This window comes from Homo sapiens, chromosome 3 (assembly GCF_000001405.40).
Source record: "Homo sapiens chromosome 3, GRCh38.p14 Primary Assembly".
Taxonomy (NCBI): domain Eukaryota; kingdom Metazoa; phylum Chordata; class Mammalia; order Primates; family Hominidae; genus Homo; species Homo sapiens.
This window is the reverse complement of record NC_000003.12, coordinates 17,738,571-17,766,162: the sequence shown is the minus strand read 5'-3', so window position 1 is coordinate 17,766,162 and position 27,592 is coordinate 17,738,571. Positions and strand designations below refer to the sequence as shown.

General features: G+C 41.4%; 1 protein-coding gene and 1 long non-coding RNA gene across 65 annotated transcripts in view, besides 7 other annotated features; one reads left to right on the top strand and one right to left on the bottom strand.

Moving 5' to 3' along the window:
- Positions 18,317 to 18,436: a silencer, noted in NCBI's record as "silent region_14127". NCBI's record gives its function as "represses an Ori minimal core promoter by ATAC-STARR-seq in GM12878 lymphoblastoid cells {active_cell/tissue: GM12878}" and the evidence as "EXISTENCE:reporter gene assay evidence [ECO:0000049][PMID:35858748]".
- Positions 18,807 to 18,976: an enhancer, noted in NCBI's record as "active region_19573". NCBI's record gives its function as "activates an Ori minimal core promoter by ATAC-STARR-seq in GM12878 lymphoblastoid cells {active_cell/tissue: GM12878}" and the evidence as "EXISTENCE:reporter gene assay evidence [ECO:0000049][PMID:35858748]".
- On the bottom strand, positions 20,501 to 23,219 carry LOC105376975 (uncharacterized). Its single transcript, NR_135536.1, has 2 exons — positions 23,045 to 23,219; positions 20,501 to 20,795 (listed from the first exon to the last, which is right to left on the bottom strand). It is a non-coding gene; the product is annotated as an uncharacterized LOC105376975 (long non-coding RNA).
- Positions 23,116 to 23,185: an enhancer, noted in NCBI's record as "active region_19572". NCBI's record gives its function as "activates an Ori minimal core promoter by ATAC-STARR-seq in GM12878 lymphoblastoid cells {active_cell/tissue: GM12878}" and the evidence as "EXISTENCE:reporter gene assay evidence [ECO:0000049][PMID:35858748]".
- Positions 23,116 to 23,846: a biological region, named in NCBI's record as "H3K27ac hESC enhancer GRCh37_chr3:17783809-17784512".
- Positions 23,143 to 23,846: an enhancer, noted in NCBI's record as "H3K27ac hESC enhancer chr3:17783809-17784512 (GRCh37/hg19 assembly coordinates)". NCBI's record gives its function as "activates a minimal SCP1, AML or CMV promoter by ChIP-STARR-seq in naive H9 embryonic stem cells {active_cell/tissue: H9 hESC(naive)}" and the evidence as "EXISTENCE:reporter gene assay evidence [ECO:0000049][PMID:30033119]".
- Positions 23,306 to 23,615: a silencer, noted in NCBI's record as "silent region_14126". NCBI's record gives its function as "represses an Ori minimal core promoter by ATAC-STARR-seq in GM12878 lymphoblastoid cells {active_cell/tissue: GM12878}" and the evidence as "EXISTENCE:reporter gene assay evidence [ECO:0000049][PMID:35858748]".
- TBC1D5 (TBC1 domain family member 5) overlaps positions 23,532 to 27,592 on the top strand; it is a 585,470-nt gene continuing 581,409 nt past the window's right edge. For 63 of the 64 annotated variants that reach the window (XM_047449296.1, XM_011534283.4, XM_047449314.1 and 60 more), the window contains exon 1: positions 23,532 to 23,682. The gene's annotated coding sequence lies outside the window, so the exon portion shown is untranslated. Of the gene's footprint in view, positions 23,683 to 25,255; positions 26,821 to 27,592 lie in introns of those variants that run through there. The other variant, NM_014744.2, reaches the window with a different exon arrangement.
- Positions 23,846 to 24,045: a silencer, noted in NCBI's record as "silent region_14125". NCBI's record gives its function as "represses an Ori minimal core promoter by ATAC-STARR-seq in GM12878 lymphoblastoid cells {active_cell/tissue: GM12878}" and the evidence as "EXISTENCE:reporter gene assay evidence [ECO:0000049][PMID:35858748]".

The following is a 27,592-nucleotide window of genomic DNA, read 5'->3' as shown; positions in this document are numbered from 1 at the left end:
TTCCGTTTTTGACAGAACCTTCCATTCAATTCATCAGACGCTTTGCTGTGAAATGATTGCTTACCCAGACTTTGTGGACATGTCCAGTGTACACAAGATGAATTCTCGCTGCTCTCAAGCAATTCACTGTGTAAAAGGAAAGAGGTGCTTTCCCACCACCCTCCATCACCACCACCATCACCACTTATGCCATCACCACCACTAATAACCCTATCACCACGACCATTACCACCATTGGCAGAGAAGAGAAACTGATTCAAGTCAGTTACCATATGTCTTTCTGCTGTCAGGCTTCTAGAATATAGTTAATAAATGTTTATCTGCCATTGTCTTCTTTCTTGCTGCTTTTCCCATTTGGGTTTATTCTTTGCTGTACTTCTAGTAGAGTTTTGGAAGGGGAAAATTGTTAGAGGTCTTCAGTCTTATTTGAGCAGAAATGCCTAAACTTTTACTTTCTTTCCTTTTTTTTTTTTTTTTTTTTTTGAGAGAGAGTCTCGCTCTGTCGCCCAGGCTGGAGTGCAGTGGCGCGATCTCGGCTCACTGCAAGCTCCGCCTCCCGAGTTCACGCCAGTCTCCTGCCTCAGCCTCCCGAGTAGCTGGGACCACAGGCGCCCGCCACCACGCCCGGCTAATTTTTTGTATTTTAGTAGAGACGGGGTTTCACCGTGTTAGCCAGGATGGTCTTGATCTCCTGACCTCGTGATCCGCCCGCCTCGGCCTCCCAAAGTGCTGGGATTACAGGCGTGAGCCACTGCGTCGGGCCTAAACTTTTACTTTCTATCAGATGTGCTTATGTGTTTTTTTATTTGCATACATACTGATGAGCTGTAATCTTCAGGGTCCTCCCTTGCAAAAAGACAGCTGTCTGGATGTTATTTTAGGAGTAAGAATGGTATATAAACCTTCACCAATAAAACCTTTCTCAGAAAACTTTTTTCTCTTTGGAGACTTGTTAGCCATCATTAACACTGGCATCCAAATGGGCTTTAGGTCTTTTCGATAAGGAGGAGAAACCAGAGACCTCTATTTGTCATCTTGAAAGATGATTTGCAATAGAGTACCTCCTGGAAGAAAGGGCTGAAGCTGCGATCTGAAGATACCACTGGCCTAATTCCCAATTGTACATAGGGCTGGCAGAATGTTTTTTCACTGAGCTGAGGCGTGTATCTCTACAAGTCTCGAAATTTCCAGGAAATAAATAATGTGTTGAACTCAATAATCTTAATGAAGTTTGAACTATTTCTGATCCATCCCTTGCAATGAAGACAAAAAGCACTGCTTCTGCATCTTCTGCCCGTTAAACAAGATTAGTTTACCTTTTCACCAGCTTAAACGAAATAGCAACTCAATGGTCCTCCTAGGACTAACCAAATAAGAAAATAGTGCTCTAATCAATGTTACTGCTTAGGCTTAATAGTTTTCTGATATTTGGTCTAAATTTTATTGCTGTTTGTTGAGTATCTCTTTTTAAGCAATTCTAGTTGCCTCTCAATTATGTGCATATGTTTCATGTAATATATCTCCTTGTAGTAGACGGGTAAGGGGACACTGAGAATGACATCGGTTACTGAGTTTTTCTTGTTATTACAATCAATGGTTTCTTTATGATCATTTTGTTAAACTAGGCATGTATTATATTTTTTATTTTGAGTTCAGTGAAGTCAGTGCTGTTGCACTTATCCCCATGTTCAGAATTTTCCTCTCATCTGATGAGAAAGTTGATAACAATGTCTTTTCATCAAGGTGCTTTTAAGGTAATTTTAATGTTTTTGTTTAACATGGCTCAAAGAGCAACCCAAAAAATCAAGATACAGATGCTGATTAAAACACATGGCTGTCTGCTTCCCTGCGTGTTGGCCCTATGCCTGGAAGGATTGTGCACCAGCAGGTGGATAGGATTGTGGCTGATACACCTGACGTGAGAATGGACTATAATGAAACCCAGGATGCACTCCAGTAAAAATCAGGATCTTCATGTCTTTGACTAAATCACTTCAGATCAAGCATCTATTATGGCAGAACTAACTATGGGTTTCAAAATTAAAATAAAGAAGGACTTCAGTGTCATTATGCTATTTCCACACATTGTAGGAATTTTAGACTTGGGGGATGATATTGTGAAAATGAAGAAAAGAAAAACCACTGTGGTAGATTGACTGCACAAAATGACTCCAATTCTTTACCCCTTCTTTGCCATATCACTTTATAGTGCCCTCCCCTTTGAATCTGGCTTGACCAGGTAAATTGCTTGAGCCAATAGGATATTATCAAATATGGTGCAAGCAGAGGCTTGAAAGCACTTACTTGTCTCTATGCACTCCTGCACTTCTGCCACCACCATGAGAAAATGAATGGGCTAGCCTGCTAGTGGATGAGACACATGCTCAGTCCCCCTGGTCACCTAGCCAGCAGTAGCCAACCACCTGACATGTCAGTGAGTCCAATCTGGACCAGAGGAACTACCCTACCAAGCCCAACCTAAATTGTGAATCAACAAACTAATAAGCTAAATAAATGCTAATTATTTTAAGCCACAGAGATTTGAGGTGGCACCACTGAGCATTATCATGGTAACTAACAATTCATACTACTACTGTCCATTTCCAAAAACATTCACCGTGTGCCTAGCAGGCTCTGAGATGATGCAAGCCTGAGTTAGGCATAATAGTCCTTTCCCTCAACATGCTTACAAAGTAGTACAAAAGACTTGTAAACAAATAACATCAATGAAAGTAGTGCTAAACATAAGCACAGATGTAATGCTGTGAAACATTACTCAGTTTCAACAATTGTAAAGAATCCCTACAATGTGAAAATGTATTACATTACAAGGGGTATGTATGCATATATAGACATATGCGTGTTGCCTGCATAATATGGTACACAGAATCAGGGATACCCACTCAAACTACCATAGCAAATGGTATGTTTACTGGTGTCAATGTGGGTGCTTACTGGTCTGATGCCTAAGGTTCATAATGTTCACATATCTGCCTGTTTGGGATGGAGGGAAACCTTCCTTGTCAGCTTGAGCCCCAGTCAGGAAGTCACTTGCCCTTTCAATGGGAAGGAAATAAAATACCATTCACCTCATCAAGGTTTGTGCAAAACTGTAAAGAAAGGGAAATAACACACAGGCAGCTGACCGGCAAATAGAGAAGGATCCAATTAAAAAGAAGAACTGAAGCATTGTTGTCTCGTACCTTGCTACTCAAAGTGTGCTCTATGGACCAGCAGCATCAGCTTTACCTGGGAACTCATTAGAAATGCTGTCTCAAGCCTTGCGCCAGACACAATGAACCAGGATCTTCATTATAACAAGGACCCCAGGTAATTCTTACCCACATTACAATTTGAGATTAAAGTTTGAGAAGCACTGGTGTAGCCCAATTGAGCTTCAAGTGACCTTACCCAAATAAGAAGATATGGGAGCACCAAATGCAAGCCTCCATTTTTTTGCGTGTGTGTGTGTGTGTGTGTGTGTGTGTATGTGTGCATTTTGAGACAGAGTCTCGCTGCAACACCCAGGCTAGAGGGCAATGGTGTGATCTCAGCTCACTGCAACCTCCGCTTCCCAGGTTCAAGGAATTTTCCTGTTTCAGCCTCCCAAGTAGCCAAGATTGCAGGAGCACACCACCATATTGGCCAGGCTGGTCTCAAACTCCTGGGGGAGAGAGAGAGAGATAGTTATTTTTTTATATATATATAAACTATTTATATATAACATATATAATATATAAATATGTATATATATTCTGAACTTCCAACAGTGAAGGATCAATCCCTCTGAAATAATCTATTATGCCCATAAAACCTTGAGGTAGAGAACCTTTTTAGATATTGTAAGGGAGATATTTGAATTCTGTGAGCACCAGCTGTAAATTTCAGTGAAATTAAGTAGACTAAACCATGTGAAAAACATTCTTCCTGACAGTGGTTCTCAATCTCCGGTCCCCTTTGAAAATCTGTTGGCTGGCCGTGGGGCTCACGCCTGTAATCCCAGCACTTTGGGAGGCCGAGGCAGGTGGATCACAATGTCAGGAGTTCGAGACCAGCCTGACCAACATGGTGAAACCCCGTCTCTACTAAAAATACAAAAATTAGCCGGGTGCAGTGGCAGGAGCCTATAATCCCAGCTACTCAGGAGGCTGAGGCAGGAGAATCACCTGAACCTGGGAAGCAGAGGTTGCAGTGAGCTGAGATCACACCACTGCACTCCAGCCTGGTGACAGAGCGAGACTCGGTCTCAAAAAAACAGAAAAAAAAAAGAAAAAAGAAAATCTGTTAATAGCAAAGTGCGTTATTCCTATAAAGATACACATGTTTAGTTACAGACAGAATTTTTCAGGAGAATGAAGAACCTCCCAAAACCATTCACGAACCACTTCCTCACAGTGCTGATCTCCAAATTAAGAGTCCCTAAAAGAATATGGCTTCAAGAAAGCTTATTTCTTTGTGGGTATGCTACATGTTATTCAAGTATCCATTAATTGGTGACAACTTGATATGCAGAGTTTTCATCTCACAGAATTAATAAAGCAGGGAACAAATTTAGCAAATGAAGACTCGCAGTAATCAGAGGTGAGTTCCCAGTGGCCCAGTTCTAAGGTTCTGCTAGTGGTGCAATACCACCTTGCCTGGGCTTAATAGAGCTTTCTATTCTTCCTTTCTGTCCTGTTTATCTCTCTTTCTGTTGTAATCTTTTTTTAAAGTTTGGTAAAACAGATATAATATAAAAGTTATCATCCTAACCTTCTTTATATGTGCAATTTAATAGTGTTAACTACATTCATATATATTCACTGTAGAAAATTTGGAAACTATAAAAAAAGAATAAAGAAGAACAACAAAATTGTCCCTAAGCCATCAACCAAGAGTTACCCACTGTTAAGATTTTGGTGCTTTTTTCCAAGTTTTTCTGCTACATTATATAAATTTACATAAATATAAAAATGTTGTGACCAGGTGCGGTGGCTCACACCTGTAATCCCAGCACTTTGGGAGGCCGAGGCAGGTGGATCAAGAGGTCAGGAGTTTGAGACCAGCCTAGCCAGCATGGGGAAACCCTGTCTCTACTAAAAGTACAAAAAATTAGCCAGGCATGGTGGCGCCCACCTGTAGTTTCAGCTACTTGGGAGGCTGAGGCAGGAAAATTGCTGGAACCAGAAGGCGGAGGTTGCAGTGAGCCTAGATCATGCCACTGCACTCCAGCCTGGGCAACAGAGCAAGACTCCATCTCAAAAAAAAAAAAAAAAAAATATATATATATATATATGTTGTGCAGTAAGTATGCATGTATATCTATCTGTATATGATATTTCAAATTGGGATTATATTGCATATAATTTTTTATTCTGTTACCATTTACAATAACATATTATATTGTTAGTGTGTTCTCAAATTATTAAAATTCTTTTTAATTTCTATATGATATTCCATTTTACGGATATGTCATAACTAACTAATCATTTCCCTATTTTTTAATGTTTACATTATTTCCAATGCTTTATCTATTTATAACCCTCTGATGAACACCTTTCTACAAAATCTTTATCTGTATTGCCAAAGAACTTTTTTGTTTTTTTCAGGTTACTTGTTTCTTCTTTATTTAGTTGTGATTGTGGAGACTATCCCAATTTTCCATAAAATCATCTCTCAAAACTGCTGCAATATCATGGCATAAAAAACTCAAAAGTGCCATAGGCATAAGGACTAGAGTTTTTAAAATCATAAACTACAATGCTGGATAATCTTTGAATGAGAACATTTGATATGGATGATATGGATTGTTAGATAAGGGATACCAAAATGTCACCAATTAATTCTTTTGGATAGATAACTGGGGGTAGAATTATTGGGTCCAATAGTGTGAATTTATGTAAGTCGCTCAATATATGTATCCCCAAGTTACTGGGAATTTGCAACTAATTTATAGTTAGAGTGCTTGTCCAACACATGTTTACCAGTATTATCTTTTATTAGTCTTCGCATATTCGTGAGACCAAAAGAATGGTATTTTTGTTTTGTTTTAATTTGCATTTTCATAAGCTTAATGTCCTTTTGTATTTCTTCTATGAGTCATTGCATTCCTTTTTCTTGTTTTTCCTACTGGAGCATTCATATTTCTCTTAGTCGTTTGTGAGAGTTCTTTGTTGATTAAGTAAATAAACCTTTTGTTATTTTGTTGGAAATACTTTTCTGAATTTCCATTTAACCTTATTTTTATAAAAATGCTTTATAACTTACAGAAGATTTAAATTTTAATGAAATTGAATCTATTAATATGTGATTTCTTAAGCTGTCTTTATGCTGAGAATGTCCTTCCCCAGGACAGATTAATTAATTGATTAATTCTTCTGATCTTTTAACATTTCTATTTTTGCTTTAATTTTTTAATCCACCTAAAGGTGTATTTGGTGGATTACACCTTGGTGTTCTATGCGACGAAAACCTAACTTAGTCTCTCTTCCTCACCCTGACTTTGCACTGACCACCACCAAATTTAGCCAATATTCCTAAAATGAACAAAAATGTTCAATGACATTTTGGGAAATAGTACTATAGTATTTTATTATTAAGAATGATTTAGGCTGGGCGTGGTGGCTCCCGCTTGTAATACTTGCACTTTGGGAGGCGAAGGCAGGCAGATCACATGAGACCAGGAGTTTGAGACAGGCCTGGCCAACACTGTGAAACCCTGTCTCTACTGAAAAAAAAAAAATACAAAAATTAGTCTGGTGTGGTGGTGCACATCTGTAATCCCAGCTACTCAGGAGGGTCAGGCACGAGAAATGCTTGAACCTGGGGGGTGGAGGTTGCAGTGAGCCAAGATTTCGCCACTGCACTCCAGCCTGGGCAACAGAGAGAAACTCTGTCTGACAAAAAAAGGAAAAAAGAAAGATTTAGACTATTGTTTAAGATAGTTATTAAGGAAATATAATTTTATTCTTGGTTCACTGAGTTTGTATCAGGAATAAATGTTCACTTTATTAAATAACTTTTTCAGCCTATACTGAGATGATAATGAATTTTTTGGTTTGTCCTGATGATGTGTATATATGATTTCCTAATATTAAAACACCTTTGCATTACAAGTCTAAATATAACTAAATCATAACAGATTGTTATTTTTATGTAACTGATTAATTCACTGTATTAACATCATGAATTTTGATCCTATTACGTAAGTAATTTTGTGTTTTGCATTTTTAAAGTTTTGTATCAAAGTTATATTAGCTTCATAAAGTTATTTGGATAAGTTTCCAGATATATAAAACATTTCCATCTAATGTCTCTTACATCCACTTTTTCAAAACTAAGATTCATTTAATTATATTTAATCTCTGTTCAAGGTACCTCATGAATCTATCAATTCTTTCATTTGTTTTGATTTACCTCTGTTTTTATCTTTATCAATTCCATACTTCTGTCTTGTGCCAGTTTTTCTGGTTGGATTGTTTTCCTTTTTGTTTTCTGTGGGCTTTAGGGGTACTAAAGTATAATACATTTATATAAAAATGCACAAGCATGTATGTAAAGCTCAAATGAAAATCATCAGAGTCAGTTAATTTCATCTGCCTCTTATAAAAAGGAAAAAATGTTAAGTGGAACATTATTTCATGGACACTTGAAAATGCACAACTTTTATTTGTGATGCACAAAATCTAATGTTATATTTATTAAATCAGCCTTAATTGTTATATTATTCAAACTACCAGAACTCTTTTGGTTGCAAGTGGCAGACCCCACTTGAACAGTCTTAGGCCCAAGGAAGATTCACTGAATAGACTGAATAGTGTTCCTGTTAACTTGCAATCAAAACATTGTTAAATTTGCCTGGGCCTGGTGGCTCACACGTGTAATCTCAATGCTTTGGGAAGCCAAGGTGAGAGGATCACTTGAGGCTAGGAGTTTGAGACCAACCAGGGCAACATAATGAGACACTGTCTACAAAAAGTAAAGTATAAAGTTTAGCCAGGCATGGTGGCATGCCTGTTGGCCTAGCTACCTGAGAGGCTGAGGCAGGAGGATCAGATGAGCCCAGGAGTTCAATGTTACAGTGAGCTATGATGGCACCACTGCCCTCCAGCCGGGGTGACAGAGTGAGACTCTGTCTCCAAAAACAAACAAAGAAAATTCTTAAATTCATTACAATGTATTCTAGGAGACTTTCTCAAGTTTGCCCTCCACATAATTGGTTTATTATTTTGCAGCATCAATTTTGCTCTTTTATTCTCTTCTTCCCTTCTATGTAGATTTTAATTTGGCTTCGTATTTGGGGCTTTCTTACATTCTTTTTCTCATTTCAATCAGTTTCTTTTCATAGCTATCTTTATGTCAGCCTTGTCATTTCTGTTCTCTTCACAAAGAAGCCATGTCCTTGGGCATATTTTGGGGATTTCAAGCAGATAGATTGTAACATTCTAATGTGTTTATTAGACATGATTTTTTTCCAGAGCCATAATCTTCTTTTGAATATTAAAAGGTAGTGTTTCTGTTCCCATATGCTACAGTATTTTTTCTTAGACCCCTAAGTAGAATTTTTTCTGTCTATCCATTTTGGAATTTGGAGAGTACTATTGTTTGAGCCCAGTGTTTGCCAGTACACAGAGTGCATTAAGTGTCGACAATTCTCAGATCAGACCTAAACCTGAAGTACAAGTTGGTGTGCAGAGTCTCTAATACAGTGCATATTAACCAGGGATGGTACCATTCCCAAAAGGAGGATTTTGAAATGTGGGTATGTAGCTTAGGTTGTATGGTACTGGCAGGCAGAATAATGCCCCCTATCTCCACAGAGATGACCATTCTCGAATCCTTGGAGCATATGAATGTTACTTTCAATGGCAAAAGAAATTTTACAGATATGATTAAGGTTATGAACCTTGAAATGGAGAGACTATCCAGCATTATCCAGGAGGACCCAATCTAATCACAAATTCTTCAAAGTAGAGAGCCTTCCAGCTTTCCAGGCTGTGGTCAGAGAAAGATGTGATCATAGAAGAAGGGTCAGAGGAATGTTACATGAGCAGCATTTGAACTGCTGTTGCTGACTTTGGAGAGAGAGGAGGATCCCCACAAGTCAAGGTGGTAGGGAGGGTAGGGTCTAGAAACGGGGAATTGCCTTCACCTGACAGCCAGCAAGAAAATGAAGACCTTGGTTTCACAACTTCAAGGAACAGAATTCTGCCAATAACCCAAATGAGAAGGAAACAGATTCTCCCGTAGAGCCTCCAGAAAGGAACACAGCCTGCCCACGTGCTGATTTTAGCCTGGTGAAATGGGTGTTAAATGTTTGACCACTTAATAATAAGATAATAACTTACATTGTGGAAGTGGTTAACTTTGTAGTAAATTATTATGGCAGCCATAGGAAATGAATACAGATTGTCTCAGTGACAGATTATGGCAGATTTTCATTTTTAAAGATGGCCCAATATTGCCCTTGACATTCTTCCCATTGAAAAGTGTATCTGCCTCAACCTCAAATCAGGGTGTGCTTAAACTAACTTGTAACCAATAGAATGCAGTGGAAGTAATGTTGCATGATTTCCAAGGTTAAGGCCAGAAAAGACCATGAAGCTTTCACCCTTTTCCTTGGAACACACATACTCAGAGCCCTGGGCTGCCATGTATAAATCTGATCACCCTAAGGCTACCATGCTGTGATCAAGTGAAGCCACGTGAAGAGGCCTCCTGGAGGTGCTCTAATAGGTAGTGCCAGTCTTTGAGTTCTTCCAGACCATATGCCAGATATGTGACTGAAGGTGCATTTGGATGATTCCAACCCCTAATAGTTGACTTCTCCAGCCTTTGAGTTTTCCTAGCTGAGGACCAGATGAGGTAAAGAGACAAGTCATCCTTAATGTGTCCTGTCTAATTCCTGACAAAAGGATTGTTGTTCTACACTCCACTAAGTTTGGGGTGGTTTGTTATACAACATTAATAACTGGAACACAAGAGCTACTACCTGAATTGAGTGCCTCTGGGCCAGTAAAGTCACCTGTCCCAACAAGAAAGAAAACCACTTCCCCTCTAAAACCGCAGATTCTCCATTCAGAAATGGTGCTCTAAGGTATTATTATATGTCTACTGATCTGATGTTGCATTTTTCCCCTGGTTTCTCTTACTAAGCAATTTGAAATTCTTTTATGAAGAGTGTAGCATATGACCAAAATCTATTTACCCAGCAGGCAGTTTTCCTCATTCCCTTTTTGTTTCTATCCTATTTATAGCACTTTTCATTAGATTACTAAGAATCCCAAGATTGAACTTGTCTGTTCACTTACTCCTCTTTCTGCTGTGTTGCATGCTGGGAGTTGCCTCTGAATGCACAGGGAGATTGATGCTAATGAGATTGGATGCAAGAAAGTGAAGGTGAATTATAGAACTGTAGTTCTTACCGGCTTATTGATGTTTGTTTTATGGCCAGTAAAGTACCCGCACACTGGAGTTAAATGCAGACAATGAAGTTGTGCCAAATATTTTCCTGTGTTGTTGACATCCTCTGTATTGTATTGTTTGGGAGGGAGAAACTCATAGAAGGTAGTTTAGGGATATGTTTTCCATCCATCATCATCAATAAATCAGCTAGTTGAAATTTCACCTGGACTTTAGCAACTTGCTTTCTCTCATTTTAAGTCCACAGCACCATAAGCCAATTTTTCTCATTTTCTCTCTCTTTGTGGCATTTTAATGGGACATTGGAAGGTGGCCTATCAGACATCTCTAGACAGCCCCTTTGTGAACCCAGATTGTAGACATACTTTTAGAGGCTTTTGCCCTAGGACTATATCTCCAATATATTAACATAAGATATGAAAGTTAAATGAATAGTCTGATACATGGAATTAAACTCTAATTTTTCAGAAATGCATCTGTTCATGTCTTAAGGCATACATAAATGAATTGATAATTGGATATCAGGGAGAGTTGGCTAAATATACGACACTTATCATGACACTACAGTATTTGGAAAAAATGGCATTGTATTTGAAGGAATAGCATTATGTCCTTTAAATATTTTTGATAGAACACTGTTTCAACTTCTGGTATTTTTATGTGTAAAATAGATTTAATTAATAAATTGAAGATAGCCTAATAGCTAATGTCCTTCAAATAGCAATATTAAATGTTAAGCTGCAAATTATTCCTCATTAATCCATTTTAATTGAACAGGTAAACAATTATTAAGCTGAAAACAGATGATCATAAGAGGGTTTGATGAGTTAAAAAGTAAACAGAAAAGTCCAGGTGTGGTGACTAACACCTGTAATCCCAGCACTTTAGGAGGCTGAGGAAGGCAGATCATTTAAGGTGGGGAGTTCGAGACCAGCCTGGCCAACACGGTGAAACCCCGTATCTACTAAAAACACACAAAAATTAGTCGGGCATGGTAGTGCACACCTGTAATCCCAGCTACTCAAGAGGCTGAGGCAGGAGAATGGCTGAACCCAGGAGGTAGAGGTTGCAGTGAGCCAAGATCGTGCCACTGCACTCCAGCCTGAGCAACAGAGTGAGACACCATCTCAAAAAAAAAAAAAAAACAAAAACAAAAAAAAACAAGTAAACAGAAAAAATATCAGTTTGTCAGGCTCATGAGGCAAACTCATTTGTGAGGAAATAGATCCCAACAAACAACCATCAGTTAAAGAAAACTATTGAAAGTTGAAACACAAACACAGGAATAAAATATTAGCATTGTCCATATTATATCTAAGAAAATACGTAAATGTGTTTCTTTTTATTTGGATTACAACACTGTAGCCTTTTAAAATGAAACAAAATTACTTTTTCCAGTTACTAATTAATATTCAGTTGTATTATGCTATATGTTAAACTTGAGGCTTTGTCCACAAGATAACTTTTCCAAAGTAATTTTTTTCTAACTGAACTCGTAACCCTTTCACCACCCTCATACCTGAGTATGCAAGATTTCCCGTTACAGTTTATAGTTAGGACTTCTGTCTTTGCAGTATATGGGCACAAAAGGCTATGTTATATTTGCCATGGGAATGATACTATTTAAGGCCCTGTGCTTATAAAATCTTTACCTTACTTATATTACTATAAAGTAGATTTTGTATTTTATAGAGGATTGCATACCAAGGTAGCATGAAGCTGTACCAGTGTATGGCTTGAGTTGTCAGTTACATGATATTGTGGCTTGTTCTTTCAAAGTGGCAGTCAGGGATCTCATTGTGGTGACACAGGCAACTTGACAAGCTTGATCAACTAGCACAGCTGGCTACATGTGCTTGCTTGGCTTTGTTCATTTTTCCACATTCTTCAATCTCTCCCTACAGTGGAATTTTATTCACCATGTCCTCTGTCATGGGACTTTGCATTGCTTCCCTCTAAAGTAAGCAGATATATTACCACATCATATTGATATTCGGTTTGGCCATGTGACTTGCTTAAGACAACAGAATGTGGGCAGAAGTGATAGTGTGTCAATTTTGAGCCAAAGCCTTAAGAGACCTAGAATGTTTCTGCTTGCCCCTTTGTACTTCACTCATTTGCCATGAGCAGAACATGAACATGCCCTGTGTAGCTTCTAGTCCCAGAATGAAGAATACATGTGGAACAGACCTGAACCCAACCCAAAGCCTGGAGTCCAGCCTAGCCCACTTTGGCCCAGTCAGGCTCAAGTGAGATCATATGAAACACAGCCAACCTGTAATCCTTAAGCAAGAAAGATAAATGTTTGTTTTTGCAAGTCATTGAGATATTGGGGTTGTTTTGCAGCATTGTTGCAACAATAGCTAGTTAATATCTTTCCCATTGTTGGTTCTCATGCATTTGTCTTCCTGTGTGCATGTTTAGTGCTTTTGGCTATCTATTCAAATGGACGGAATCAAGTGGAACATGCCAAGGACCAATTGAGACATTTTTGCTGTAAATTCTCCAGGTTAGCAGAGAGATGTTACATATCTTTAATGCTCTTATTTCAGTCATCTTTTTAAAGGATTTCAAGGTGGGCATTCAGCCTAACAAAACTGGCTGGAGATTCAGAGTTTTAACTATTTCTGTGGATGAGTTGTGACTTAGCCATTCAGATTGTAAGTACTTTGATGAATAGACTCTCTTCCTCTTATATCATGTTGTGAAGCCCTAACACATGTGAGCAAGCATTTGAGCATTCTCATGAATTAGCATGTGACCCTAACCAAGTTTCTTCATTTGAGTGGACCACATATTCATATCTTATTTATGTGTACTCATGTCTACAGTAGACAGACTTTAGGATAGCCTTTAATTATTTCTGCCTCCTGGTACACATCCTCATATAATACCCTCCCTTGAGGGTGGAAGGGACCTGTGTCTTCCTTCTAACAAATAGTATATTGTATGGTAAGTGAGATGTCACTTCTGTGATTATAGTATGTAAGATGTAACGTCTGCCTTGTTAGGAAACTCGCTTTCTCTTGCTGGTTTTGATTAAGCAAGCTGCTGTGTGGTGAGGCCCACATGGCAAGAAACTGAGGGCAGCCTCCATCTGACAGCCAGCAAGAAACTGAGGTCCTCAATCCTACAACTGGCAAGGAACTGAATTCTGCCAAGAATCATGTGAGCCTGGAAGCAGATATTTTCCCCAGTGAACACATGAGATAGACTGCAGCCTCAGCAGCAACTTGATTGCAAACACATGGGGAGATCCTAAAGCAAAGAACCTGGTTAAGCCATGTGCAGACTCTTGACCTACAGAAACTGTGAGTTTTTTAAATGCATGTTGTTTTAAGCAGCTACAATATATAAATGATGTGTTCAACTATAGCAACTTGAACAAGCAACTGTATTTCCACAATATGATACATATTTACTTTTTTTTTTTTTTTTGAGACGTGTCTCACTGTGTTGCCCAGGCTGGAGTGCAGTGGCATGATCTCGGCTCACTACAACCTCCGCCTCTCAGGTTTAAGTGATTCTTGTGCCTCAGCTTCCCGAGTAGCTGGAATTACAGGCGCCCACCACCACACATGGCTAATTTTTGTATTTTTAGTAGACACGGGTTTCACCATGTTAGCTAGGCTGGCCTTGAACTCCTGACCTCAGGTGATCTGCCTGCCTCGACCTCCCAAAGTGCTGGGATTATGGGCATAAGCCACTGTGCCTATTTACTCTTATTCATTTCAAACATTTATTGAATACCTACCAAATGCAACACACTTCTTAAAACACTGAGGATTCAGAGACAAGAAATACTGCTTGCCCTTGAGGGGCTCATAGTCTATGGAATGTCAGACATTTAAGCATTTAAGCAGCTGCTCATAACATATTGGGGCAAACACTCTAACAGGGATATGGAACTAAATGGTGTAAGCCAGTTGCTTTTTTTTTTTTTTTTTTTTTTGAGATAGAGTCTTGCTCTGTCTCCAGGCTGGAGTGCAGTGGCGTGATCTCAGCTCACTGCAACCTCCGCCTCCCAGGTTCAAGCGATTCTCCTGCCTCAGCCTCCCCAATAGCTGGGATTACAGGTATGCACCACCATGCCCAGTTAATTTTTGTATTTTTAGTAGAGACGGGGTTTCACCATGTTGGCCAGGATGGTCTTGATTTCTTGACCTTGTGGTCTGCCTGTCTTGGCCTCCCAAAGTGCTGGGATTACAGGCGTGAGCCACCGCTCCCAGCCCATGTTGCTTACTTAAGGTTTTTTGGCACAACATTTTAAGCCTGTACCTGGAAAAAATGTAGGAGTCTCATCTGGCATAAGAAACACTATAAAATCATGTTGAAAAATGTTTATTAGGGAAACACCTGTGCATACCAGACCAAGAATAAGTAATCCAATGGAAATAAATGCTATCACAGAGAACATATGATTCAAGGAAATGAATTTACCTACTTAATTGTGATCACGACTCCATTATCCTTTCACAAAACTGTTGAAAATCAACACTGATAATCTCCCACCAATGAGGAAGGATAATGTTTTGAAATAAGGTGCTTTCAGAACAAAAGTTAAGACATTAGTTTTACTGCTGTGCTATTTAGGCATACTAGTGGGCATATCATTGGAGACATTTGGGCAGTATAGCAAAAATACCTTTGTCTTTTTAATATCCAAAGTAAAGTCCAGAGTTTGCTATTTTGTATGTGCAAGCATTGAATTTCAATAATTATCGTTATATGTAGAATAAGCTGCTCTTCCTGCATACTGCTTTTTCTGATGAAGACTCAGAGATAATACTTATTAATTGTTATTAGTAAGAATTATTAACAAATAATTTATCAATAATTTATTATAATTATTATTGCACTATACATACATAATTATTTTATATATAGATACATAAATTGAATGGTTACTTTGATAGATATATAAATTGAATGGTTACTTTGTGCTAAATACCTAACAGGAGATTATCTCATTTAATGCTCTTAATGCTCACAACAACCTAACAAGTTAGGGACTATTATTATCCCTATCTTACAGATGAAACTGGAGCCACAGAGGTTAAGTAACTTAATTAATTCACTTTAGGTTACGTCATTAACAAGTAAGGGAGCTAGGATATGAACTTGGACAATTCTACTCCTGAGTCTATGCACTTAACTTCTTAGTTTATATTCCCTCCTAATGTTTCTGACTACACCATGATCTTTACAACTTTGAGCACAGTTGCACTGGTGTTAATCAAAAGCATAATGGTGCAAACATGAGCCTTGTAATATCAACGCATTTGACATTTCTCAGGTATCCATAAATGTTGACATCATATCCTTTAAGGGCAAATGAATTAATTTATTTATGATTTTTAAATTGATCTAGATAGGCTTTCATGAGATTCTCTGCCTATCAACTTAGTTAACAGAATACAATACCATACATACATACATATATATATATATATATATGTGTAGGTATATAATACCTTATATATTGTATTAGGTAGAGTATGCAGCTTTAAAGCAAGACAGAAAAAATTCAGTGGCTTAAATAAGGTAGAAGTTTATTTCTCTCTAATTTAAATGTGTAGTGAGGCAGTCTGGGTTGGATAGGCAGTACTTTACCAAGCAATACAGGGTTGCAGTTTCCTGCAATCTGGTTGCTCTGCTGGGCTCTGCACATTGGAACCTGAGTCATTACTATATCTGTGTTCCCGGTAGCAAGAATAGAGAAGGAGAGGCAGTGTAGGGCACGAAACTTGTGTATGGAAGTGTAGGGAAGAAGAGAAAAATAGATTTGGAAAGGAGGAGGAGGTATACACAGGTATGCAGACACCACATACAAATCAATTTCTGGTTTTAGCATTTTGAGGGCAGACTTTCTGAAGAATAATTTCACTTTCATTTTCTATGACTAGGATGAGATTTAAAATGACTTTACAGCCACTCCCTAATATCACCGATCAATTGGTTGAGCACCTCACACTCTTTACTTACAAGGTTAGTTTATTAGGTGAAAGAGTTTTGAAATTATGGATGAGAAGAATGATATATATATGTGCTGGGTAACTAACACAAGGAATGGAGTGAACAAATATTGTTTTGTCTGCCAAGTATCTCTCCCTACTCTGCCAAATAGCCATGACCCTTCTTTAGGAAACAGACTCTCTCCTACTCTTTGTGGTTGTTGGTGGGAGGGTAAGCAGAGGAGGTGCCCCTTGCAGGTCTCTGCTATGCATACAGTCATGTCCTGAAGAAAGATGCCCTAAGTAGTTCTCTCTGCATAACACCACTCTGTATGTACCACAGGATGACCTCAGCCCTGGGGCCCCATTAACATGATCTCTTCCTGTGTCTTGTCAGCTGAGGGGTAGTTGAGTTCCCTCCCGCTGTTGCTCATCTCTGGAAAATCTCCCCCATTGCATATTTGCTGCTCTGCACATTGGAAACTGAGTCACCACTCTATCTGTGTTCCAGGTAGCAGGAATGGCTCTTCCATCACCTGTTAACTCATTCCCTGTATTAGATTTCAACTGTTGTAAATAGTTGAAGTGGTTTCTCTTCTCCTGGTTGACTTATGAAATGGTCTACTCTGTTGGGTTGTTACAGGTCCAGCCACACGTAAAGACTGACTAGTTCCCCTATAATCCCGATTCTCAATTATTTCAGAAGAGAAGCTGATTGGTCTCAGTTTGTTTTAGGTTATTGAAGAGAATTGATTGAGGGATAGTGGTTTTTTTTTTTGTTTTTTGTTTTTTTTTTGAGACAGAGTTTCACTCTTGTTGCCCAGGCTGGAGTGCAATGGTGCTATCTTGGCTCACCGCAACCTTCGCCTCTCGGGTTCAAGCGATTCTCCTGCCTCAGCCTCCTGAGTAGCTGGGATTACAGGCATGGCATGCGCCACCAGGCCTGGCTAATTTTGTATTTTTAGTAGAGACGGGGTTTCTCCATGTTGGTCAGGCTGGTCTCGAACTCCGGACCTCAGGTGAGCCGCCCGCCTCGGCTTCCCAAAGTGCTGGGATGATGGTTCTTGTTATGAGCTAGACAAATAACTCTGAAAGTATCTGCTCCAGAAACACAGAATGGTATGGCCGGGTGCGGTGGCTCATGCCTGTAATCCCAGCAGTTTGGAAGGCTGAGGTGGGTGGATCATGAGGTCAAGAGATTGAGACCATCCTGGCCAACATGGTGAAACCCCGTCTCTACTAAAAATACCAAAAATTAGCTGGGTGTGGTGGCAGGCACCTGTAGGTCCCAGCTACATGGGAGGCTGACGCAGGAGAACTGCTTGAACCCGGGAGGTGGAGGTTGCAGTGAGCCGAGATCGTGCCATTGCACTCCAGCCTGGGCAAAAAGAGCAAAACTCCGTCTCAAAAAAAAAAAAGAAACACAGAATGGTGTGTGGGGTATCAAAATGGCCATATTACCCCACAAAACTTTTATTGTTAGCCTCACAATATTTATCACAATATTAATCATTTTTACAGTCAAAATAACTCAAACAATCTTTCTTTTTTTTTTAATTAATTTTTTTTGAGACGAGGTCTCACTGCAGCGTGGACCTGCTGGGCTCAAGTGATCCTCCCACCTCAGTCTCCCAAGTAGCTGGGACTTCAGGTGTGTGCCACCATGCCCAGCTAGTTTTTTGTGTGTGTTTTGTAGAGACAGGGTTTCGCCATGTTGCTCAGGCTGGTCTTGGACTCCTGAGCTCATGCAACCCGCCCACCTCAGCTTCCCAAAGTGCTGGGATTACAGGCGTGAGCCACTGTGCCTGACCTTTCTTATTTTCTTAACAGTGAAATGCTTTAGCTTGTTGTTATCTCTACCTAGGGTTAGCTGCATTTTAATAGATGGCTCTAGGAGATGAAACGTTCTTCAAAACCCAAAACCCAAAAGAATGAAAAGAATTTAGATGTCTTGATATTACTAATAACTGTGACCTGTAGCTATAGTCTGAGGATGAAAAAGGAAGTCCTAGAATGGGGTTGTGTTTCAGTTCAGGTCCTCTGAGAAGCAAATACCACAATGGGACTTACAAAATGAACTGAAACACAACCCCATTCTGGGACTTCCTTTTCATTTACATCAAAGCTTTTGGTGTACAAAAGCTTTATTGAGAGAACACCAATAAAGGGAAAAAAGCAGGAGCTGGACTTTGTGTGTGTGGGCAGAGGTGAAGACTTCAGACCACAATGCAGGTCTGTAACCTGGGAAAGCTAAGGGGAAAGGATAGAAGAGTTGTTAAGAAGAGTTTTAGACTGTGGCACAGTTCTAAGAAAGTTTTGGCCATGCCACTGGGGAATCCTTGAGCCAAAGCTGCCTGTTAGAGGAATCCTCCTTTGGCCTTCACTAATACCCCTGCCGCAATCAATCATCGAGTGGGAGTAGCCCAGGAGAAGTGTGGCCTCAGCATGAACTTGGTAGTGGATCCAGTGGGGCAGCTGCTGAGGCCGAAGGTCAACTATGTTCTTGCAGCAGGAGATCTGAGTCGGGCATTTCCATGGATGATGCAGAGGGTAGCACGCCAGCTCCACGCACAGCCCATGCTTACCACAACCCTTTCACTTCCCACTGGACAATCCCATACTGTAGGCTGTACATCTTATTATCATGTCAGTCTATGCCACCATAGCAATTTCAGGATCTAATGATGGCCAGTTTACCTGGGTGAGTTGAATGGAGTGGAGGAGAAAAGAGCCAGGAGAAGGGATGTGGATGGTGGCCTGATCACAGTAGTCCCAGGCTGAGTGTCCATATCGCCAGAGGCCTGGGAGAGAGCTGATCCTTGCCAAGAGACTTTAAGAACATTCGTGTTATTTTCTGCTTCATTTTCCGCCATGTCCCAAGACAGAGAATGCACATAGATGTCGAAGCAGAGAATCAACTAGCACACAAGCTGCTGCAAAACCAAGTGTCAAAATTTATTTTTAATTAATTAATTTATTTATTTATTTATTTATTTTGAGATGGAGTCTTGCTCTGTCACCCAGGCTGGAGTGCAGTGGCGCGATCTCAGCTCACTGCAAGCTCCACCTCTCGGGTTCATGCCATTCTCCTGCCTCAGCCTCCCAAGTAGCTGGGACTACTTGGTGCCTGCCCGCCACTATGCCCAGCTAATTTTTTTGTATTTTTAGTGGAGACAGGGTTTCACCGTGTTAGCCAGGGTGGTCTCGATCTCCCGACCTCATGATTCACCCGCCTCGGCCTCCCAAAGTGCCGGGATTACAGGCGTGAGCCACCGTGCCCAGCCCCACAATTATTTTTTTAATGCTGAAGTTAGTTCAAATTTAATTTTTCTGCCTTAAACTCAAATTCTATTATAACTAACAAAACTGAAAATGAATTTTTATACAAAGTTTGTATTTTAAGGAGTTATTAATCATCAGCTTGATTACTTTTGTTTCTTTTTCCTAGATTACATTGCAGGCCACTCTCTGCCTTGTCGGGGTGCTCTGTATTGACTGAGGACCATTGGGTCCCTCAGATTGTCTCTTGGGGAGTAAGAACGTGAGAAGCCTGAGAGAAGCTGGATCCTTACAGCTATTGTTGTAGCCTAAAGGATGGGGTCATTGCTGTGGCTCTTTATGATGCCACCTGGGCTTCCCAGTCTGGGAACCATCAGAATGCAGGTCATGGGAGATGACTGGGCTGTTTTCCAACATCTCCTTACTTCTTGCCTGATAATAAACCCCTAAGGTAGTCTGGATGCCTGAGTGACTTTTCTTTGCAATGTGGAAGAACTTGATTAATCCTCAGTAGTTCAGGATAGAGATGATGAGGATCTGAGGTGAGAAGTGTTGTGGGGACTGGAGAAGAAAGCTCATTAGTTGGTGACTGAATATTGCAGGATAAGGAGTAAAGGGACACGCCCAGGTTTTCTGCTTCGGGAACTAGGGGAATAAATGCACAACCAACGGGTGGCAGGGGAGGGGGAGCGGTCGGGGAAAGGACACAGGTCAGGTTTGAAGGCTATTTGAAAAACTCAACTCAAGTATATTGAGTTTGAAGTACCTGTGAGACCACCTGGGATACATCTCTAGCAGGCAGCTGAATACATAGGTCTGTTCTGGTTATTTAATGATATCTAATAAACTATAGCAAAACTTAGTGGCTTAATACAACTGTTTTATTTATTTTTCCACAATTCTGCTATTTGGGCACTGGGGAGAAAAGCTCATCTCTGTTCCATGTGGTGTCAGCTGCGGCAGCTTGAGTAGGGCTGGAAAATCCACTTCCAAGACTGTCTCAGTCACATGCCTGGCAGGCTGGTGCTGACTGGCCAGTAGGAGCACAGCTAGGGCTGTTGGCCAGGGGCCTTAGTTTTCTTCCGTTTGGTCTCTCCAGGTGGCTTGGTTAGACTCTTCACAGTGTGGTAGTTTCAGAGTAGTTGGATATCTTACATGGTGCTTCCCACAAAGGGCAAAAATGATAGCTACTGTCAAAGTTAAAAACTAAACTGGTGAGGAAATAGATTTCATTCAGGCAATTACATTAGGGAGAGTACTCCAGATGTGAAGATCAGAGTGTCTCAGCAGGGTGGTTTTGCCCTATACTTTTATTATTATTTTAGAGCATGGTTTTGCTGTTGTCTAGGCTGCTCTCAAACTCCTGGGCTCAAACAATTTTCCCACCTCAATCTCCTGAGTAGGTGGGAGTACAGGTGTGCACCACTATGCCTGGCTGCCTTATACTTTTACAGGGAGGCATAGACAGGTTATAGATGAGATGATTACAGTTGGGATTATTTTTGTAATCAGAGAATTATCAGCTATGAAATGTTTATCGCTACCTAATTTCAAGGGGGAAAAAGTAGTTCTAATCCTAGCTAATCATTCATGAGACAAATAGGAAGTTGAAAGGTGACTGACCTTCCCCACAGGTTCGGGAAAAAAGGAAAGGTATGTGTTTGGTCTTGTCACAGGTCATCTACTAGTTTTATCAGAGAAACTGGACAATGAGTCTCATTTAAGTAATATGGAGAAGGATTGGTCTTTGTGGTAAACTGTTTCGCAGAACACAAAAAGGTGGTGGGATTTCTTAACTATTTCTGTTTCCCATGAGTCTCTGGTAAAGTTCAAAGTTGTCACTGCAAAGCCTTTTTTTTTTTTTTTTTTTTTTTTTTTTTGAGACGGAGTCTCACTCTGTCGCCCAGGCTGGAGTGCAGTGGCGCGATCTCGGCTCACTGCAACCTCCACCTCCTGGGTTCACACCATTCTCCTGCCTCAGCCTCCCGAGTAGCTGGGACTACAGGCGTGTGCCACCATGCCTGGCTAATTTTTTGTATTTTTAGTAGAGACGGGGTTTCACTGTGTTAGCCAGGATGGTCTCAATCTCCTGACCTCGTGATCCACCCGCCTTGGCCTCCCAAAGTGCTGGGATTACAGGCGTGAGCCACCGCGCCTGGCCCTGCAAAGTCTTTAAAGGCCTAGGCCTAGAAGTGACAGAGAGTAATTTTTGCCATATTTGATTGTTTAAGGCAGGTGACAGGTCCGGCCCAGACTCAAGGGCAGAGGACTATACATGGGCATGAATACTGGGAGGCACAGTTAATTGTGTGCCATAAGAAAATAGTCTACCACAAGGTCTGAATCTTGGGCTGAATATTTAGAATGGGATGCCATTAGCATAACCTGTGTGGTAGCTGAAACTATGAGGTGGGATCAGTCTGTGGGTGTATACAGTGGTAAATGCAGAAAAGAGTCCAACAGCTTTGTAAACATTTGAGAATGGAATCTTGAGGGTTGTCATTTTCCTAGTTTCTCAGAAGCCTCTGTTAATCCTATTTCTTCATATACATTCATCCCAGGATTTTCTGTCATTTTGTTGCTAGCCCCATTTCTTGACTATCATCTCAGTATTCACCAGTCTAACAGTGATGATGACTGGTCTAGCCAGAACTCCCAATTAGGGAGTTTTTACATTTTATTTATTTGATAAATAAATAAATCTGGCCGGATTAAATCTGGCCACAGGCACTAACTTAACCTGTTCAGTTTCTGCAACAGAAAGAGGGGCAACAGAAAAAGAGGGATCTCTGTGTGAAGTGGGGTGTTTGTCCACAAAGGTCTCCCACACAGGCATCTTCCTCTGAAGCTAGATAACCTTCAGAAATCTGACCTTTCTCTGACTTGGTTTCCTTTTCTGGACTAAACAGTATCAATTTTCGTTGGAGCTCTTTGTGAAGATAAGCTAATAAAATACCATAAATCTCTTTTACTAAGTGAAGCATTTACCACTCTAATTAACATTATGATTTAAAGGCTTTCATACTGGGGAAACAAACACCACCTTCCCACGTGCTTGGGTTAAAGGGGATCTTAAATCATGATTATGCAGAGACCAAGGGCAACGATAAAAGTTTTAGACATTCCCTGTGTTCTGATAGTCATCAGACGTTTAGGGAGATACTACAACACTGAAGACCCTGTCCAAGTTTATGAGATAAAGATAGAAACCACAGTCTAGTATTGTGGGCTTGTGAAAAAATAACTCCTAACCTTTATCTTTCTATGGGTTGTACTACAAGGTAGGTCTGCACAAAGTGCTAGTGACTCCTCTAAAGTAGGCAGGGGTAAGTTTCACGGAGAAAGTGACAGATGAGCTGAGTTAGAAGCCTACTCAGCCACAGAAAAATGTGGCATGGAAGGCCATTTACCTGTGACAAGGAAATGTAAATTCCTTGGCAGGAGAGCCAGGATCTCAGGAGAGTCCCTGGGACCCTCTGCTCCCCTTCTCAGTCCAACCCTGGGAAGATAGTTGGTGGATGTGAACCTCTGACTAAGACCCAGGAGCTGGTTCCCAGCCTCCAGCCGCGCGCCGGTTGGAAGCAGGGAGAGAAGGGAGGGGTAAAAGCCCTCAGGCGCATGCGCTCAGCAGCCTGCCGGCTCAGCCAAGGAGAGCTCTGCCCGCGGCTCACTCCCCACCTACTCGCTTCTCGCGCCTCGCGGGCCCCAGAAACCCGGACCCGAGAGCGAGCGCGTTGCGCTCGCGCGCAGACTTCAGGTCCCGTGCGGGCGCCTGCGCACGAGCTTCCCAGGCGCGCGGGCCGCGAGGTTATTAGAGGTGGAGCGCGGGGAGGGCGCGCGGCGGGAGGCGGCCGCCGTTACGGCGCGAGCGTGGTCACGTGGCCGCTGGTCACCGCCGCCACCCCCTCCCGCCCTGTTCTCTTTCAGGTCGGGCCGGGCCCGGCCGCTTCCGCGAGCGCCCTGCAGACTGAGGGAGAGAGAGAGAAAGAGGAGGGGAGGAGGAGGAGGATTCAGGGAATAGGAGCTGGGGAGCCCTTCTGCGCCACAGGTAAAATAAAATAATGATGATGATCGTAAAAAAGCCCAAGCCCTCTGAACGCCTCCGCCTTCCTCCAGTGCAGCCCCACATGCAGTCGTTCCCGCCCCGGCCTCCCACTCAGCCTCAGGACAGGTTTCGCCCCCCTTCGCGCCGCTGCTGCAGCCGCAGCCGCCGCCGCCTTCTCACGGGAGGGCCTGAGGGTGCCGCCGCCACGGCGGACGGGTTGCCGCACCGCCCCCCGTTTGTGCGCCTCGGAGTCGGCGTCGGGGGTGGATGGCGGGAGGGGTGGACCCTTCAGCTCCCTGGCGGGCAGGGCGGGCAGGGCGAGCTGGGCGGGGTGGCTGCTTGCAGTCTGCCTGCTTTCCCTGCCCCAGGAGGTCGGGGTCTAGACTGGAAGGCCAACTGCAGTAAAGGCAGGGCCTGGCGGCTGGACTAGTGCTCAACTTCCTACTTAGTAAATTTCCATGTTCATTTGGGCCCCGGGAAGCACGCTTCCTTCCCTAGCCGGAAGCGAAACGGGCCCTGAATCCTCAAACCTTAATAGTCTTTAGAAGAGAGAAGCCTTGACTTCACTTTTGAGGAAGGGAACCGTGACCTGGATTTAGTACGACTTAAGTTTATTCACACGTAAGAAACGGAGGTCTTTCAGGATAAGAGCAAAAAAAAAAAAAAAAAAAAAAAAAAAAAAATTCGCAGGGAGGGCAAATCCCGCTCCCCACCCCGACTTTTCCTGGAAAAACACACAGACCTTCACTACAAGATTCGATTCTACAAGTGACCTAGAATTTGTTCGATACCAGTTACTCGTTTTAGTTACAGGAATTATAATCTGTGTTTAAAGTTAACATCCTGTAGGTTTTTTTCGAATAATAACTTTCTGGAAAGAGTTCATTTGTCAACTCTGAATTGGACAAAATCCTAAGATTTTAACATGCAGGTTTCACACGTTTGGACCAGGTTGCCTGGAATTTCTAGACCCGGTAATTCTTTTGTAAACCTTTATAAGTGTTGTGCTCTTGCACAAAATACTTAAAGCAGGAAGCAATAAATAGGTATTGTTGAAAAATGAGCCTTTGCTATCGGTGGCAAAGAAATTCATTTATATATTGGTTTTTCTCTTTGGGCTTTTCTGATTCCGTGTCTTGGTACTTTTCATACCATATCTCTGAATTCATTTGTAAACTTGAGCATTTTTAATTTTTACAGCTATCTGCAGTATCACAGAACACTCAAACCTTAATGTGGGTGGGAATCACTTGGGGCTCTTATTAAAAATGCATTTTCTGGTTCAGTAGGCCTATGGTGCATTTTGATATTGTACATTTCTGATAACATGTGCAGCTGGACAAGGGACTATCTTTGAGTAGCAAGGAAGTGGATAACTTGTGTGCAAATAAATAAAGTGTTGTATTTATCAATAAACATGTTCTTTTTAATAACTCACCCCCGGGTGTAGAGGTGGCTTGGGAGAAGGGGCAAATGGCAGGATGAACTGAGAAAGCTTTCAGAGTGAGCAGGCTGAGTCTGGATTCCAGGGGAGGGGATAGGAAGAGTGCAAATATTGTGTCTGTATGCTGTATGGTGACTGCATCACCTGGTCTGTGAATTTTCCATTAGAAGCTTGGTGTGCTGTTAGGTGAAAGACTTGCTCAGCTATGCGTCATTGGGTTTTATCAACATATAGGCGAAAAAAATCCTGGTCTCTGAGTGTACAGCTGAGATGAAAATTTCTTTTATTGGAGGAAGTATTGAGTGTGTGCTCTCAAATGCGGCCTCAGTTGAGTAGTGCATTCCTGAGTTTTGGAAGCAAATTTGCAAACAATTGAGAGTCGTACAGTGGGTGTTCTAACTGGATTCAGGTTTTTTCTAATGTAATTTTTTCACACGTAAATTAAAAAGTTTAGAAATGTCACACATAACTTCATAACACTTTATGGAGAAATGGTTGTACTTTTAATTTTTTTCTTTTTATTTATACTCCAACTGACTGAGCAGAGGTTGTACTTCTAAATAACTTTGTGGAAGTTTTTAGTACCATAATTTTTATAATTTTCATTCCAGTCCTTTGATATTTATGACAGTACTTCTGAAGCGCTTACTGAGTGCCGGACACTGTTGTAAGTGCTTTACGGAACTTGACTTTTTTTTTTTTTTGAGACGGACTCTCGCTCTGTCGCCCAGGCTGGAGTGCAGTGGTGCAGTGGCTCGATCTCGGCTCACTGCCACCTCTCCCTCATGGTTTCAAACACTTCTCCTGCCTCAGCCTCCCAGGTAGCCAGGATTATAGCCGCCCGCCACCACTCCCGACTAATTTTATTTTGTATGTTCTTTTTTAGTAGAGACGGAGGAGTTTCACCATGTTGGCCAGGCTGGTATCGACCTCCTGACCTCAAGTGATGTGTCCATCTCGGCCTCCCAAGGTGCTGGAATTACAGGTGTGAGCCACTGTGCTCGGCCTACCTTTTTTTTTTTGTTTTTTGTTTTTTTGAAAAGGAGTTTCGCTCTTGTCCAGGCTGGAGTATAATGGTGCGATCTCAGCTCACCGCAATCTCCGCCTCCCAGATTCAAGCGATTCTCCTGCCTCAGCCTCCTCAGGAGCTGGGATTACAGGCGCCCACCGCCATGCCCGGCTAATTTTTGTATTTTTAGTAGAGACGGGGTTTCACTATATTGGCCAGGCTGGTCTCGAACTGCTGACCTCAAGTAATCCGCCTGCCTCAGCCTCCCAAAGTGCTGGGATTACAGACGTGATCCACCAGGATCACACCAGGCCGCGCCTGGCCTGCTTTCATTTTAAAAGTCAAATTTGTCATCCGCCTCAGTGCTTGTAATCTTTTCTGAGTGAGATACTGAAATTTGCAGTTTCGTTTTGCTTGCACTTGTTCACTGGACCAGTAGTCACTGTTAAATGTAAAAGTATCTACTTCCTCTGAAAGTTTTTTATTCCTTTATTTCCTGCCTGGGCTTGTCCTCCACCCTACATGTATGCGTAGTAGATTTAGTGTTTGTTATCCTAACCTTTAGGTTTAGGGATTGACTGGGTTTCTGACTTTTTATTTGGCCAATGAGGACGATACAGAAAATGAAGCATTGGTCATTATCACATTTTAACGCTGAAAAAGTAAGAAGGACAACCCCGGAATAAAAGTAAGTTGAATAATTTATGTTTCATTTAAAAATGAATATATAATCCCTTCTCTTAACCCCCTTTTTGTCTCAGACCACTGAAAGCTTTGTCCTGTTAGCAGCAGCAGTCTGAGAAGTGGTGCTAGTCCACCTGATCCTGAGACATTTCTCTCAACATGGGTAGATCATTGGAATGGCAGTGTGTACAGTGTGTGTACCAGAACTTGAGAAATGTGAGGTCGGGGTGGTGGGATGGTCAGCAGTGGAAGAGCTGGGAGAGGGGAGGGAGATCATTTGACGGAGAGGGCCTGTGGGCTGCTTCTAGTAGCATCAATTATTACTAGAATAATGGTGAATTTGGGAAGGATGTCAGTGTAACAACAAATCTCAGTGTAAATGCTTTCTCAAAAACCTGTGAAGTGTTTAGGAAAATGTTTATCATTCTACAAATGTTAGGTAAACATTTAAAAATAATTCCTGTGCAATGATTTAGTAACATTAAACATTATATAAATTGAGGGATAAAAAGAGGCTCAGAGATTATCATCAGAGGTTAAGATTGTCCCAAATTCTCTCTTGTTCTTTTGGAATATTAGGATAGAGTTGAAACCCTTGCTGCATGCCCACTTGTTGGCTTTTTTATTTCTTACCCTGATGCTGTGTTGTGGGCTGCATGGACATACCAGCTCTGCCATGCTTTCTGGGCCTCACAGCTGAATGGCCAAGTCATTACTTACGGTTATCCCAGGGAAGCATTTGTTGCACATCCGAATGATGGAAGCCTTCTAATTGG